Below are 16,974 nucleotides of genomic sequence, written 5' to 3'. Positions count from 1 at the left end.
TTCTAGAATCACTTCAGGTAACCTCTTCCCTCCTTCCAGATGTATTAGGGTACAATAGACAAACAAAAATTGTATATATTTAAGGTAAATAACCAACAATTTGATACATGTATATGTTGTGAAATGATTACCACAATCAAGTTAATTAACACATCCATCTCATTCCATAGTTATGTGTGTGTGTGTGTGTTTGGTGAGAATACTTAAGATCTACTCTTCCAGCAAATTTTAAGTATACAACAGAGCCACCATGCTGTACCTTAGAGACTGGGAACATAATCATCTTAAAATTGAAAGTTTGTTCCCTTTGATCAACATCTCCCCACGTCCTTCTCCCCCTGGCCCCTGGAAACTACTCACTGTTTTGATATCAGTCTAGGGGAAAAGAGGAGACATAGGGTCCATCTCTTGCTCTTATGTGAGCTCTCTGCTTCTATGAGTTTGACTTTTTTAAGACTTTTTTTAAGTTGTAAGTGAGCTCATGCACTATTTGTCTTCCTGTGTCTGGTTGATTTCACTTAGCATGATGTCCTCTAGGGGCATCCATATTTTCACAAATGGCGGGATTTTAAATGTTTGCTCTCTCCCGTAAAATGTCCCAAGAATGACCTACGTTTCCCTTGCTTTCTTTTAGGGTCACTTTTTCTAGTTTTCTCATTATCAGAGACAGCTGGGATGGAGCGGACCTCATTTTGCAAAGGAATAAAGACAGTAATTAAGTTGCCGTTTAGTCTTTTCCTTTCTGGGCTAACTAATCCCAATTATTTTTAACCTTTTCACATAGGCCTTTTATTTTCTGACCTTTTAATGAATTTTCACTGCTTACTTCTGGTTCTTCTCCAGCGGTTACATAGTCTTCACAGTTTGCCAAAACTTTTCAGTAGTCATAATGAAATGATTATTTTCCCCCTATTTGCAACAGCAAACTCCCATACATTTTTGAGAAATACCGAATAACAATGATATGTCTAATTTTTCAGTTACATTTCTGTAAGGACATTTTCTCTCCAAAGTGTCAGCTATGCTCTCTCCTTTTCTTTATTTTTGTAGCTTAATGTCTTATGTACAAAATAAAATGATTATTTAAGATTTGTTCAAATAGCTATCAAAGCACTACTAGATATGTAAGAGTGTGCTAGCTACTGTTAGAGATAGAAAATAGGTAGATGCTGTTAGGTCTCTGTGATACAAACGCCACAATGATGGGTATTGGGGAACTGATACTGTTTGAGCACCTCCTATGTGCCCAATGCATACTTAACCTCGTCTAAACCTCCCAGAATCTTAAGAAAATGATTTCATTGCCACTTTCCAGATGAGCAAACTAAGGGTCACACAAGGTGAATGCCTTGCAGATATTCTCACAGTTATTGAAATGGTATAAAAAGTGCTGAGGCCGGGTGCGGTGGCTCACATCTGTAATCCCAGCACTTTGGGAGGCCGAGGTGGGTGGATTACCTGAGGTCAGGAGTTCGAGACCAGCCTGGCCAGCATGGTGAAACCTCATCTCTACTAAAAATACAAAAATTAGCTGGGCCTGGTGGCGGATGCCTGTAATCCCAGCTACTTGGGAGGCTGAGACGGGAAAATGGCTTTAACCCAGGAAGCAGAGGTGGCAGTGAGCTGAGATCACGTCACTGCACTCCAGCCTGGGCAAAAACAGTGAAACTCTGTCTCAAAAAAAAAAAAAAAAAAGAAAAAAAAAGTGCTAGGAACTTAGACTTGCCTTCTCTTAGATCCACCACTTGGAATTGTCAAGCCTTTGATTATTTTTGCTGTCCTCACTGATAGGACCTTGGATCCCTTTCCCCATGAGTCAAGGATCATCTGGGGGAAAAAAGCTGATATCAATAATGACTTGAGAAATGCTCTGGGCCCCCAGAATTCAGTGGGGGAGTTCACAGCAGAGGGAATTGCAAGCTATCAGGATCTTCTCAGTAGAATCACAGTAACCGAGTTGTTTATGGCTTGGGAGGTAACACAGAAGAGGGTAAACACACGGGCCCTGGGGCCAGGCTGGGTCTCATCCGGGCTTCTCTGCTTACTGACTGCTCAGCCTCGGGCAAAAGGGGTCACCTCTCTCCACTTCCAGTTTTTCATCCGTAAAATTGGAATATTGATAATGTCTTTTTTACTGAGTGGTTGGGCATATTAATATGTTTAAAGTGCTTAGATTTCAGGCTGGAATAGATAAGTGCTGAGTAATTAGTAACCATCATCATCACAGAAATCTCTTTTCTCCCCAGGGTAGAGTGGGAGGGGAGCCTTTTAATGTCCATCTTTTTTGAAGCCATATCATCTTACAGTAACCATGGCAACCAATCCCCCCAGATGTTTCCATGACATTTTTTTTTGAGTAAAAACTTGAAAATCTTTTTTGTGAACCAAAGATCCCTAATTTTTCTGGAACGATGTGGTTTGGTTGTGTCCCCACCCGAATCTCATCCTGAATTGCAGCTCCCGTAATGTGCCATGGGAGGGACCCGGTGGGAGGTAACTGAATCATGGGGTGGGGTTTCCCTGTGCTTTTCTCATGAAAATGAGTAAGTCTCATGAGAGATGTCGGTTTATAAAGGGCAGTTCCCCTGCACATGCTCTCTTGCCTGCCCCCATTTAAGACTTTGCTTTGAACTGTTGGTGAAACCAAAGGTTACCCTGATTAAGCCCGTCAAACTTCACTGCCTTGCTTGCTTTTAATCATTTACTTCTGGTTGATCTTAAAAACTCCCACTAGCAAATCACGTGGCCAAACAATACGTGACTCAACTCCCACTAGCTTCCTGGGGGGATAACATCTCTGACTGTGTGTCACTATAGTAACAGGTGCCTAAAGTTGGTTTTCAGGAACTAGTATTACCAGAAATGGATCCCAATCCAGACCACAGGAGAGGCTTCTTGGATCTCATGCAAGAAAGAATCCAGGGTGAGTCCACAGAGTAAAGTAAAAGCAAGTTTATTAAGAAAGTAAAGGAATAAAAGAATGGCTACGTCATAGGCAGAGCAGCCCCTGAGAGCTGCTGATTGACTATTTTTGTGGTTATTTCTTGATCATATGTTACACAAAGGGTAGATTATTGATGAGTTTTCTGGGAAAGGGCTGAGGGATTCCTGGAATTGAGGGTTCCTCTTCTTTTTAGGCCATATGGGGTAATTTATGGACATTGCCATGGCATTTTAAACTTCCCTGGCACTGGTGAAATTGTCCTTTAGCATGCTAATGCATTATGGTTAGCATATAATGACCAGTGAGAATGGCCAGAGGCCACTTTTAGTCGCCATCTTGGATTTGGTAGGTTTTGGCTGGTTTCTTTACGACACCCTTTTTTACTAGCAGGGTCTTTGTGACCTGTATCTTTTGACCTCTTGTCTCATCCTGTTGACTAAGAATGCCTAACCTCCTGGGAATGCAGCCCAGTAGGTTTCAGCCTTATTTTACCCAGTCTGTATTCAAGACGGAGTCACTCTGGTTCTAACACCTCTGACACTAGGGGGCAGCTCTTGTTCTGTTCAAGCCAGTTCAGATAGCTGACCCTTCAACTGGGCCTACAAGGGTGCCCCAACAGTGACTTTTGACAGCAGAGGTCCAAAACTCCACCCTCAAGTTATGCTAAAGCCATCATTTTCTTCACATGAGTCCTGTGAAGAGCCATACAGCTCACTTATGCTTGCACAGAAACCTGATTCCCTCACCTTTCCTACCACACAATCACATTTCCTCACACTTTAGACCACCTTGCTTCCTATCCCAGAAGTACCCCCAAGCCCTATGTTCAGGGAGAGGATTTGAGATTTGTTCTTCTGTCTCCCAGCACAGCAGCCTTGTGAATCAAATCTTCACTCTTTTGCAAAACCTGTCACCTCAGTGATTGGCTTGCTGCGTGTGGGCAGAATGAACCTGGCTTGATAACATCAGAGGCTGTAGGATGTACTCTTTTTTTTCCCCTCAGGTTTTTGCCAAGGCTGAGCCCAGCAGAAGTAATTTTCAAAGGGTTGGGATAGTTTGTGTATTAGCTGACTCATTGAAAAGTGCCTTTTCCAGTCATATTCCAAAGAATGTAAAGTTATAAAAACAAAAACCCCCACTGGAACAAGTGTCATTTTCCACCAAGGTGGGCTTGATCACACACAGCTTTCTGTCCTTTCTTGTGACATAGTTTACTGTCATTTGCCTGATGTTTTATTTAACTTTGTTATGTGCATCTATCTCATCTTTTCAACCACATTTCAGATTCCTTGTGGGGAGAGTTCTTGCTGAACCTCTTTGAAGTCTTTGCAGTTCTAAGTGCTCCTGACATATAGTTATCTCAGTTACATTTACTGAAAAAAAAAAAAGATTCTAAGAATGGGTACATCTATCCTTTCAGGGAATAAATATGGTTAAAATGATAGAGGCTTTACTACAAAAATCAAAAACAAATCCTTGGGATATTCCTGGAAGCTGGTGTTTTCCTTAATTAACATAATGGATTCAGTAAATAGAGAGGAAAGTATGTTTGAAAAAAGAACAGATTACCTACAGGGCTGAAATCTTGTCACACAACACATTTGTAGTTTTAGTGTATTTTTCATTTTAAACAGGGATTATTAATTAAGCCCCAAAGGCTTTCTCTGCTCACAGTGCATTCTGAAAAGCACCAATCTCTTTCTAAACAAAACAGGCTCCAACTACTTTGTAATCAGAAGACTGGCTAATGGGCTGGTTGAATGCTACCGACTTGCTTAATTGAAGTTCCACTAAAAACCTGAAATACCAATCCTCTCCTATTCATTTATTCGTTCATTTATTCTTCATTCTAATGAGAATTATTGAGTACTTACTATGTATAAAACATAGCTTTTCTAGGCCTGGCACGGTGGCTCATGCCTGTAATCCCAGCACTTTGGGACGCCGAGGTGGGCGGATCACGAGGTCAGAAGATTAAGACCATCCTGGCTAACACGGTGAAACCCCATCTCTACTAAAAATACAAAAAAATTAGCTGGGCTTGGTGGCGGGCGCCTGTAGTCCCAGCTACTCGGGAGGCTGAGGCAGGAGAATGGTGTGAACCTGGGAGGCGGAGCTTGCAGTGAGCCGAGATCGCGCCACTGCACTCCAGCCTGGGTGACAGACTGAAACTCGATCTCAAAAAAAAAAAAAAAACATAGCTTGTCTAACACAGTGTGATGGTTAATATTGAGCGCCAATTTGATTGGATTGAAGGATGCAAAGTATTGTTCCTGGGTGCATCTGCAAGGGTGCTGTCAAAGGAGATGAACATCTGAGTCAGTGGACTGAGAAAGGAAGGCCTACCCTCAATCTGGGTGGACACAATCTAATCAGCTGCCAGCATGGCCAGAATAAAAGCAGGCAGAGGAATGTGGAAAGAGTAGACTGGCTGGGTCTTCTGGCCTCCATCTTTCTCCCGTGCCGGATGCTTCCTGCCTTTGAACATTGGACTCCAGGTTCTTCAGCTTTGGGACTCTTGGATCTTAGACCACAGACTGAAGGCTGCACTGTTGGCTTCCCTACTTTTGAGGTTTTGGGACTCGTACTGGGTATCTTGCTACTTAGCTTTGCAGACGGCTTATTATGGGACCTCACCTTGTGATCGTGTGAGTCAATACTCCTTAATAAACTGTCTTTCATACATACATCTATCCTATTAGTTCTGTCCCTCTAGGGAACCCTGACTAATACACACAAGCAATATCACCAAGCTGACAAAAATCAGACAATAGATGGTCAAAGCCAAAGCACACCAGGGCTGCCTATCCTGGGGATACAAGGTAGGTTAGTCAGTGGACAAATCCTTCCTCCAAGCTCAGTTCCAATGCTACCTCTTCTATGAATCTATCCATTTCCCCTTGCATTCCCAGAGTTTTTACCCAAAGCCTCCTTTTTCACATATTTCCTTTTGTGTTATATTAATATTTCTTACCTTGTATGCAGTGACATGTGGTGGTGAGAACATGAATCTTAGAGGCAGGTTGAGATTTGCATCCTTGCTTTAACCATTACTTGCTCTGTATCCTTGAACACATTAATCTCTCTGACCTCTTTCTTCACCCATGAAATAAGGATAATAGCAGTTTGCCCCAAAAGACAATATATGTGATGTATCTCATGCACATAGAGATAATAGCAATTATAACTAACACACACAGCACTAACTACATTTTTCTAAGTACTTTATGTGTATTAACCCATTTGATTTTCACAATAACTCTTTTAATACTTTGGTTACTTCAGATTTACAGACGAGCAACTGAGATGCAGACAGATTGAGGAAATCTCTCAAAGTCACACCGTGAGTTAAATGGTGGATCTGAAGTTTAATTGGAGGCTTATTGCCTCCTGTGTTTATCATCTTGCCACTCTGCACTACTGATTTTTCTAGAAGAACATGGTAAGCATTAATAAGTTGTAACTATGACTATCCCTATTATAAACACAATTTATTGTCTTTTTTTTTTTCATTTTCAAGCTTTAATATAGCATTTTTTAAAATTTTTATTTTAAGTTCAGGGTTACAAGTGCAGGTATGTTACTTAGCTAAACTTGTGTCATGGGGGTTTGCTGTACAGATTATTTCATCACCTAAGCATTAAGCCTAGTACCCATTAGTTATTTTTCCTGATCCTCTCCCTCCTCTCACCCTCCACCCTCCGATAGACCCCAGGGTATGTTGTTACCTTCAGTGTGTCCATGTGTTCTCATCATTTAGCTCCCATTTATAAGCGAGAACATGTAGTATTTGTTTTCTTGTTCCTGTGTTAGTTTGCTAAGGATAATGGCCTCCAGCTTCATCCATGTCCCTGCAAAGGACATGCACTTATTCTTTTTTATGGCTGCATACTACTCTGTTAACATCTTGATACCAAAATTATATTATAATCACTTATATGCCTTTCACTCCTGTGCTTTGAACATAGTAGGTCCACAATATTTGTTTGTGGACTTGAACTGAAATGACTGCCATAAAAAAAAGCAAAAACAAACTAACAGAAATCTAAAAAATATACTGTTAAATTTGGGTTGTGTCAATTTTTGTGGATAACTATTTTTTCTATGACTCTAGAGCCTTGTCTAGAATGCAAACTCTGGAATACTTTAGAATATCACCCTCCGTTTGAATCATTTCACAGCTCATTGGCCTCCAATTCTCTTCTTTCTCAACGCATCACCATAAGTCATTTTTAGAAAGTAATTCTCACCCTCCATTCCAGATTTGCAACTTTTATTTATTTACAGGCTTGCAAATAGTCACCTGCCCAGTGTTCCTGGGGAACAGGCATCTATGCTAAAAGGGACAAAGAATACAGATATCCTACATCTTCTGAACTTGGAAGTGTACAGATAAGAGGAATGAGGGTGGACTTACCAGCCTTTTCAATTGGTTGGGTGACTTTTTACCTATCAGAGATTATAGCCTAGAAATTCATAACAGAATTTACAAGTCTGGGTATGACATGAAGAGAGGTTATTTTCATTTTGTTATTTAAGCTTTTTTGTTTGTTTCGAAATGAAGTCCCACTCTGTCAACCAGGCTCCAGTGCAACGGCATGATCTCAGCTCACTGCAACCTCTGCCTCCGGGGCTTAAGAGATTCTCCTGCCTCAGCCTCCTGAGTAGCTGGGACTGCAGGCGTGTGCCACCAAGCCTGGCTAATTTTTGTATTTTTAGTAGAGATGAGGTGTCTCTATGTTGGCCAGGCTGGTCTCGAACTCCTGACCTCAGGTGATCCGCCCGCCTCAGCCTCCCAAAGTTCTGGGATTACAGACGTGAGCCACTTGCCCGGCCTATTTTGTTATTCAAATTAAATACATATTTTCTTACAGGTCTTAATTCTCCAGCAGATGTTTGTCTAAGCACTCACTATGAGAAGGCAGGGAGCTGAGTCAGTCCAGAAGCTACTGTTGAGGTCAGTGGATTCTCAGATTAATCCATCAATGAGAAAAATCGTGTAAACTACAAAATGGACCACTGGGCATTGTGTTGGAAAAAAAATAAAAAGACAAGAAAACAGTGGACCAAATGTTTGTTTGTTTTTCCCTTTCTTGCTTCAAGCTGTTGTTTTGATGCTGGCCATTTAGCCTGATAAGGCCTTGATAAAAATAAGTTGCATGTTGAAAAATATAAGCAAGAAAGCATCACATATTTGAGTTCAGTGGAAATTTCCTTAACTGGAAGTTTATAGGTAATGAACTTCAATAGAAATTGCTTTTGGCCATCAGTTATTTTTTTCCCTATTCGACCCATCTGAGTATTTGCCCACTCCAAGACATGATGATGGGGTCCATGGCTACAAAGGTGAACAACTGAGTTTCTGTTTTAGAAGAGCTCACCATTTAGTTGGAGAAAAAGGCACCTAAGCAGTGAAGGTTTTGTGTGTGGGATGAGGGGAGGTCAAATTCAAGGAGCTGAATTTAGGGTGGACCATGCAGCTTATCTGGGCAGGCTTCCTCAGTTAGGGTAATCTGAGATGGGTCTTGGAGGATGTGTAGGAGATTTCCCTCAACTAGCTGAAGAGGTTTCCCAAACAGCCTCTGCTCAATCATATCTCCTGAGGAGACCTTCTCTGCTTCTGCAGTAGTTAGCAATGTCAGAACAGTCAACAACCTCCATTTTCAAAATATACATCTTTCTTTTTTTTTTTTTCTAGAAACAGAAACTAGGTCTGTTGCCCAGGATGGAGTGCAGTGACACAATAATAGCTCACTGTAGCATCGAACACCTGGGCTCAAGAGATCCTCCCACCTTGACCTCCCAAGTAGCTGGGACTACAGGCATGTTCCACCACCCTCAGCTAATCAAAACAAAATTTTTTTTTTTTTTGTTTAGAGATGGGTTCTGGCTATATTGCCCAGGCTGCTTTCAAACTCCCGGCCTCAAGTGATCCTCCTACCTTAGACTCTCAAAATGCTGAGATTATGGGAATAAACCACCATGCCTGGTCTGTCTAATCCTCTTTTCTATCCAACTTATTTTCCCTCCTGATGAAAGATAAAGTATTCTTTCATCAGATGTAATGTCGAGCAGACATTACGTCTGAAAACCCACCGGGTAAGGGTGCCAGGGGCAAACAACTTGGTGGTGTTTAGGATACTAGGACTTGTTACAGTGGAGTGTCCTATAAATGCTTCTTCCTCTGGGCTTCAGGCCCACCGGAGTTTGCAAATCATCAGATTCCAAAAGGCAACATGAAATTTGTCCCTAAATACATAAGAATCAAGTTACATGGAGACACAGGATGGTTTCCGCGTCCAAAGTTTTGTCTCCTGCACTGGTCCCCACAATACTCAAATGACTGTCATTAGATTATTAAGGACTGTATTCATCAGTTAGGGGCTGCCTTAAGAAAGTATCACAGACTGGGTGGCTGAAACAACACAAATTTGTTTTCTCACCGTTCTAGAGACAAGACGTCTGAGATCAAGGTGTCAGCAGGGTTATTTTTTTCTGAGTTCTTTCTCTTGGACTTATAGATGCCTGTCTTTTCCCTCTGATTTCACATGGCCTTTCTTCTGGGTGTGTCAGTGTTCTAATTTCTCCTCCTTACAAGGATATTAATCACGTTGTATTGGGACCTACATTAAGGATCCCATTTAACCTTAATTATCTCTTTTAAGACTCAATCTCCTAATATAGTCACATTCTGAGATACTAAGGGTTAGAACTTCAACATATACATTTGGGGGAGACACAATTTAGCTCATAACAAGGACATTGTCGCTATTGTTTATCCTTTGGTAAACGGCAAATATCATCTTTATATGCTGATACATCATCTGCAAACTGTCTTAATTCATAAATAACCAAGCACATTCAATTAGTTATCAAGTCATTTTAACTATAACTCCAACATACTTTTGAAATAGGTCCTGTCATGATTTGAGTTATGTAACCCCCAAATTCCTATGTTGAATTCCTAAACTCCAGGTCATCACAGTGTGACCTTATTTGGAATAAAGCCTTTGCAGATATAATTAGTTAAGAAGAAGTGATGCTGGAGTAGGGAGGGCCTGTAATCCAATATGACTGGTGTCCTTATAGAAAGGAGAAATTTGGACATAGGGACAGACATGCAAAGAAGGAAGACGATGTGAAGACACCCAGGAAAACACTATGTGAAGAGGAAGGCAGAGATCAGGGTAATGCAGCAGAAGACAAGGGATGCCAGCAAACCACAGAGAGCTGTGAGAGAGGCATGGAATACATTTTCCCTTACAGCCCGCAGAAAAAACCAACTCTGTTGGCTTGCACTTCTAGCCTTCAAAACTGTATGACAATACATTTCTCTTATTTAAGCCACCCAGTTTGTGGTATTTTGTTATGGTAGACCTAGCAAATTAATATAAGTTTGCTCCTCTATATTCCTATCATTACTACTAAAATTGAGATCTTTGTTATTTCTCACCTGGTCTATTGCTATCAACCTTCAGTGCCATCGCCACTGCAAAACTATCCCGTCATCCATCCTCCACCCAGCTGCCTAGTGATCTTTCTAAAATTTAGCTGGGTTTGGTGGCTCACGCCTGTAATCCCAGCACTTTGGGAGGCTGAGGCGGGCAGATAACTTGAGGCTGGGAGTTTGAGATCAGCCTGGTCAACATAGCAAAACCCGGTCTCTACTAAAAAACACAAAAATTAGTCAGGCCTGGTGGCATGCACCTGTAATCCCAGCTACTCAGGAGGCTGAGGCAGGAGAATCACTTGAACCTGGGAGGCGGAGGTTGTAGTGAGTGATCACACCACTGCACTCCAACCTGGGCAACAGAGTGAGACTCTGACTCAAAAAAAAAAAAACAATAAAACAATAAAATAAAATTTGAGTGTCCCCTTTTAAGGAATGTTCACCACTAGTCTCAGGATATATTCCAAGATCATCAGCCCAACAGACAAGACCCTTCATTAATAAAATAACTTCTCTTCCCTGAGCACTATTTATCCAATGTTTAGGTCTTCTAAGTTTCTTCTTAGTGTGCAGAATTCATCTGGGCATGAAATGAAAAGAATGACCCACTTCAAGGAAGCTATCCATCAGGAGGTTTTATGACTATCTTCAAGGTTGGAGATCACCAAGTTTCCCAGAGCAGAATTCTCTCTCCACTTAGAGTTTGTGTCTATAAAACCCAATTTTTTTGAGCTCTTGGTCAATGTATTTGACAAGCCAGCCCTTGACAGCTTTTTGGTCATCCATTCAGGAGGGCTCCACTGATGAAATTCTGCCAAGGATGTAACTTAACTCCAATGTTTTTGAATGAATTTCTCTCTCTCTCTCTCTCTTTCTTTGTTTTTCTTGCTAGTTATTCTAAGCACAAATAATCAGCTTCATTATGCTAGGTTAGAAGGATACTCTTCCACAGAAAATTACCCACAACAAATAAAAACAATCCCATATGGCAGTCCCTTTCATCACAAGACTAGTTAAACCTTGACCACACAGTTTGCATCTTCTTATTGGCTTGGATGTTTGCCAGTATGTTGATGTTCTGTGTCTTCAGTGACAAATTCAACCTAGAAAATTCTTTGCAGGGCTTCCTTTATGCTTAGATTTTTCGTAGTTCTTTCTGTTTTGTCCTCGGAGCAAACTCTAAACCTCATATACACTTCTGGAAATCATTCAATGCGCTCTAAATATTTATCAAACATCTGCAATGTGCCAAGCACTCTGTAGAACTCTAGGACTACTGTGATTCTATAGAAGATAAGGCTTTTGACCCATTATTGAGTGGGTTTGTGTTTCAGTGCATTTTCTAGTTGTGGGTTTCAGTTATTCTGGAATAATACCCTGTTTGCCTCTCCTTACAGCTAGGAGAATAAAACCTGTTGTCTGTTGCCAGTCCACTTTTTGCCTCATTTCCTGCTCTGTCTCTACTCATCTCTTTCTCTCAAGTTCCCTCTCTCTCTCCAGCCACACTGTCATTCATGTCCCAACTTATCCTCTGTTCTTCCCTCTCTATGCCTCCACTTCCCTCTACTTTTTCCTGGAATGTCCTTCCTGTCTTTCATCATTCAACTCAAGCCACATGTCTTCCACAAGGCTTTGTTTTTTTCTTTTTTAAATCTTTCACCTCCCAATTAGAATTGTTCATTCCCTACAGTTCTTTTGAGCTTTAATTTTTGTTTAAAATGCTGTTGCGTTTTAATCTTCTTTTATACTGTAGAAACCTGTTTACACTTCCATCTGTAACAGAGAGGGTGAAGAGTCAAGTCAGAAAGTCAAATCTTGCCTCAACCATTCATCTAGCTGCATAACCTTGGATAAGCGCCTTAGCTTCTCTTTCCTCTTTTATAAAAGGCAGGATAAGGATGACATTTGCCTTAGAGCAAATATTTTATTTCTTTCTCTTTGACGTGTGACTCTGGCTGATGAGTTTGTACAAAAGCAACATGTGACATTTTAAGCTTAGCATTTAATTGATGAAGTCATATGCTCTCCAGAGCTCCCTTTCCCCTCTTGCAATGCCAGCCAACAATGTTTCAGATACCAATTAGGAAAGTTCCTGATAAAACATTCCAGAATATTCTGCTAGCCTGGTCCCAGAGCAGCAAACTCCCCAGCTGACTGTAGTAGACAATCGGCATGAGTGAGAAATAAACCTTTCCGATTTTAAGCCTCCAGGATTTGGGGGTTGCCTGTTACTGCAGCATAGCCTAGACTGTCCTGACTAATGCAGAGAATTATTGTGAAAATTAAGTATGATAATGTAAATAGAATGCTTGGTGATACTTGCAGCTGAGAAGTGTTTAATTACTGTCAACGCCATTCATAAACCACACTGCGAGGTGAGGATGATGTCAATTCTGACTTATTTATGTACAGCCATTCAATTTCAGTGTTATTTTTTGATGTGGTCTGAAAGATGCCCTAAGTGAAGAAGCTTTATTAAGTTAGCCATGTGGCCTTTGCTTCCTCTTAATGTATTGTTCTGTCTGAAATTAAGCCCTCTAGCCTGTCTTGAACTTATTTACTTCGAACGATCAATAGAAGTACTTTATTAAGTGGCCTTGGTCTAAAAAGAATGTCAAGATTCTCTGTGGCGCCCTCTATGAGGTGGGCCATAAACTTCCATCACCCTGATGGCAGGGGAAAGGTACACAGACAGTGCCTCCCAGTGGGGGCTCTATCTCCCAGATGCAGACGCTCTTTGGTGTCATGTTTGGGAGAACTCCTTTTGGAGTGAGAGAGATCTGCATTCTGAATAGACTCCACCACTTTCTGGCTCCGTGTACCTAGGGAAGCTGATTAACCTCTTGACACTGCAGTTTTCTGTGCATAAAATGGAAAAAGGAATGGGGCCGATCTCATAAAATTGTTGTGAGAATTAAATGAGATAACACATATAAAACACTTCGCAAGGATCCTGACGTGTAGTAAGCTCCCAATAAACGGCAGCTATTATGATTACAGCAAGTTGCAGCTTAAACTACATTTTCTGCCAAACTCTCCGCAGAAGCCTTTGAACTGTGAAGTTCCTATTACAAAAGGAAGGAAAAAGAAGAAGGCAAGCAGGGACCTTCAGAGTGGGCTCAGAAAGGGGAAGATAACTGTTCTGTGTTGTCTGTTTCCTGTTCGTTAGCTTACCCTACAGAATGACTGATAGGAAGCAAAGCACAAGTACTTGACCTTGGGCAGCCCCCAAGAACTCCATCTAGGCTTGCAGGATCAGGCAAAGCCACAATAACAACTACAGTATCAGAGTTACTCTGGGGTCTTCCTGTGGCTTGGGGATCTTCTCTAGGAAGAAACAAACAAGCAAATAACAACGACTCTCAAATGAGTTTTTCCAAGGTAGTGCAAAATCCATAATGACAAAGTTCAGGACAACAGGAAGTTAAAACTCTTTTTTATGTTCATGTGAATGAGTGGTTCTTTCTCTTTAAAAAGGTATTTATTTTTACTTTATTTTAGATCGAGGTTACATGTGCAGGTTTGTTTCACGAGTGTATTGCATAATGCTGAGGCTTCTAGAAAACCCCTCACCCAAACAATGAACATAGTACCCAGTAAGTTGCTTTGCAGCCCTTACCCCCATTCTTCCCTCCCTGCTTTTGCTTATTTATGTTTGTTTTAGTTTTTGTTTTTGTTTGAGACGAAGTCTCACTCTGTCCCCCAGGCTGGAGTGCAGGTGTGCAATCTCAGCTCACTGCAATCTACACCTCCTGGGTTCAAGCAATTCTCTTGCCTCAGCCTTCTGAGTAGCCAGGACTACAGAAACGTGCCACCATGCCTGGATAATTTTTGTATTTTTAGGAGAGATGGGGTTTTGCCATGTTGGCAAGGCTGGTCTCAGACCTCAAGCCATCTGCCCACCTTGGCCTCCCAAAGTGTTGGGATTACAGGTGTGAGCCACCGCACGCAGCCCCTCCCTGCTTTTGAAGTAACCAATGTCTATTGTTTCCATCTTTATGCCCATGTATACCAATTGTTTAGCTCCCACCTATAAGCGGGAACATGTGGTATTGGATTTTCTTTTTCTGCATTCATTCGCTTAGGATAATGGCCTCCAGCTGCAACTATGTTGCTGCAAAGGCCATGATATCATTCTTTTTATGGCTGTGTAGTATTCCATGGTATATATATGGAGTGGTTCTCTTTGAATGAAGAGTTTATTTGGATGTTATGATGATTTCACTTTCCTCTCCTGGCCTGGGACAAGAGTTTCCTTCATCCAGGAGGGTAAAGAAACAAAGATACCTGAAGACTCCATTCTGGGAGAATAGGCCAAAGCCTTAAAGCAGCCAGGGTCTAAGCCAGAAGCAATCAAAGGCTGATTCTGGTCTACGCTTTATTTTATAAATAAATTTTAACCGAGACATAGCCATGCCGATTTGTTTACATATCATATATGACTGCTTTTGCATTACAGGTGAAAGTTAAATAGCTGCAACAGAGACATTATGGCTTGCAAAATCTAACATATTTATAAAAGTTTTCTGAGCTCTCATCTAAGGTGAGAGACTACCAGTAAGGGACTTCTGACGGGATATGATTTGGACTTAAGGAGTAGTGATGCCTGGTACCCAGTTTCGCATGATTTCATTTTTCCCTGTTTTGTGATGGCCTTCATTGGCCTTTTCCTCTCCCAATCTTACTGCAGTCAGGCATTGACCTTCTGCTAGTGTTGCCTTGGAGGGCTGATGCCTAGGGGTTTGGAGCAGAAGAGACAGGCAGAGAAGCCTGGAATGTGATGATAAGGCCAGAAGTGGCCAAGAAGTGGGCAACATTGGAGTAGCAAATGAGAGGGGCTGGCCACAAGGTCATTACATTCAGGAGCACTTTGATTCATTTATCAGTTGCTTTTTGAGCCCAGCTCAATGCGGAGCACTGTAACAGATTACTTCCTAGTGAGATATTCAGGAGAGGACTGGATTTCCTGCAGTAATGCAGAATTGGCGTGAGTTAGGAAAATTCTAAGAGACCCTCCACAATTCCTGCCCTTCCTGTACATACTGTATAGAATCCCCTCTCTTGGGACTGTGTGGGGCCAGTGAATGGGATTGGATATGGCTTCTATGGTTTGGTTACAAATCAATTGCCTTCAAATTCATCAAAAGAGATATTACCTGGGTGGACTTGACCTAATCAGATGAGTCCTTAAAAGGGACAGAGCTCTTCCTGACATAAAGATAGTAGAAGAATGAAGAGAACTCAATGCGTCCTTGTTGGCTTGATAATGGGGTGATGGCAAAATGTGGCAAGGATGCAGGTGGCCTCTTGGAGCTGAGAGCAGCCTTTGGTTGACAGCTAGAAAGGAAACAGGACCTCAGTCCTACAGTTGCAAAGAACTGAATTCAACAGTCTGAATGAGTTTGGAAGTGGATTTATCTCCAGAGACTACAGGTTGGAACACAGCCTTACTGACACCTCTATTTTAGCCTTGTAAGACCTGAGCAGAGCACCCAGGGATGCCATGCACACAGACATATAGAACTGTGAGTGGGTGTTGTTATCAGCTCCAAAATGTACGATAATTTGTTATGCAGCAATAGAAAAATAATACAGGGGAAATGAGTTGTTTTATTTGGATATTAAAGAAAGATTAGTCCCCGAAAGCCAAAGAACTTAGGGATGATTTGGATAAACGATGGATCTCTCTCGGAGATACTGAAAACAGGTACAGAGGTTATAAAATGAAATTGAACTCTTGGTAACTTTGGGGGATAAGGTAGATTACAGGGGTTATTTCTTCTTCTTGCTTTTCTCTTCCTTTGAACTTATCTCCCTTTTGTAATAAAACAAAAATAAAGAAAACAATCTCCAGGGTAAATACAAGGCAGATGTCAGATGGCCAGAGGCTGGTGGTTTCTCTACAAAGTAAGTAGACAATTTCTGTACTGCCTGGAATATTGAAGCCTTCACTCTTCTCAGGCAAACATTCAGATATCTGACCTCTGGGGCTCCTGGATGCCACTGTTCAGAGAAGATGCCCAGATCAATACCATCTTCAAGTCACTGACTCATAAAACTTAAAGCTGATCAAGCTCCTTCCTCTCATTTTAAGGTAAGGCAGCTGGATTCTTAGAGACACTAAATTATTTGTGCAAGACCATGCACCTGATTAGTGGTAAAATTAGGATAGGAATCCAAGTTCTGTAACTTTGAGTCCAGGTCTCTTTCCTCCTTTCTCCAAAGATACAACAGGAACCTTTCATTTTAGAGTTAGGAGGAATCTTAGCTCTCACGTGCAATAAGACTGTCATCAGAAAGATGAAGAAATGGAGACACAAAGTTGGGGACTGAATCTCACTAAGATCACTCACAAGGTCATGAAAATTACAGGATCAACATTCAGATGTAACTTTTTAACCCAATTGTTTGTTGTTGTTGGTGGTGGTGGTTTTTGTTTGTTTGTTTCTTTGTTTTTGTTTGTTTGTTTTGAGACAGAGTCTCACTCTTTCACCCAGGCTGGAATGCAGTGGAGTGATCTCAGCTCACTGCAACCTCCGCCTCTCAGGTTCAAGCAATGCTCCTGCCTCAGCCTCCCAAG

General features: G+C 41.4%; 1 protein-coding gene across 4 annotated transcripts in view, besides 2 other annotated features; it reads right to left on the bottom strand.

Moving 5' to 3' along the window:
- The window catches only part of SHISA9 (shisa family member 9), a 661,420-nt gene that overhangs the window by 123,458 nt on the left and 520,988 nt on the right, over positions 1-16,974 (bottom strand). The window lies entirely within an intron of this gene.
- Positions 2,422-2,481: an enhancer, noted in NCBI's record as "active region_10484". NCBI's record gives its function as "activates an Ori minimal core promoter by ATAC-STARR-seq in GM12878 lymphoblastoid cells {active_cell/tissue: GM12878}" and the evidence as "EXISTENCE:reporter gene assay evidence [ECO:0000049][PMID:35858748]".
- Positions 2,722-2,891: an enhancer, noted in NCBI's record as "active region_10483". NCBI's record gives its function as "activates an Ori minimal core promoter by ATAC-STARR-seq in GM12878 lymphoblastoid cells {active_cell/tissue: GM12878}" and the evidence as "EXISTENCE:reporter gene assay evidence [ECO:0000049][PMID:35858748]".

This window comes from Homo sapiens, chromosome 16, assembly GCF_000001405.40.
Source record: "Homo sapiens chromosome 16, GRCh38.p14 Primary Assembly".
Taxonomy (NCBI): Eukaryota; Metazoa; Chordata; class Mammalia; order Primates; family Hominidae; genus Homo; species Homo sapiens.
The sequence above is the reverse complement of the archived record's forward strand: the minus strand, read 5'-3'. Positions and strand labels throughout refer to the sequence as shown.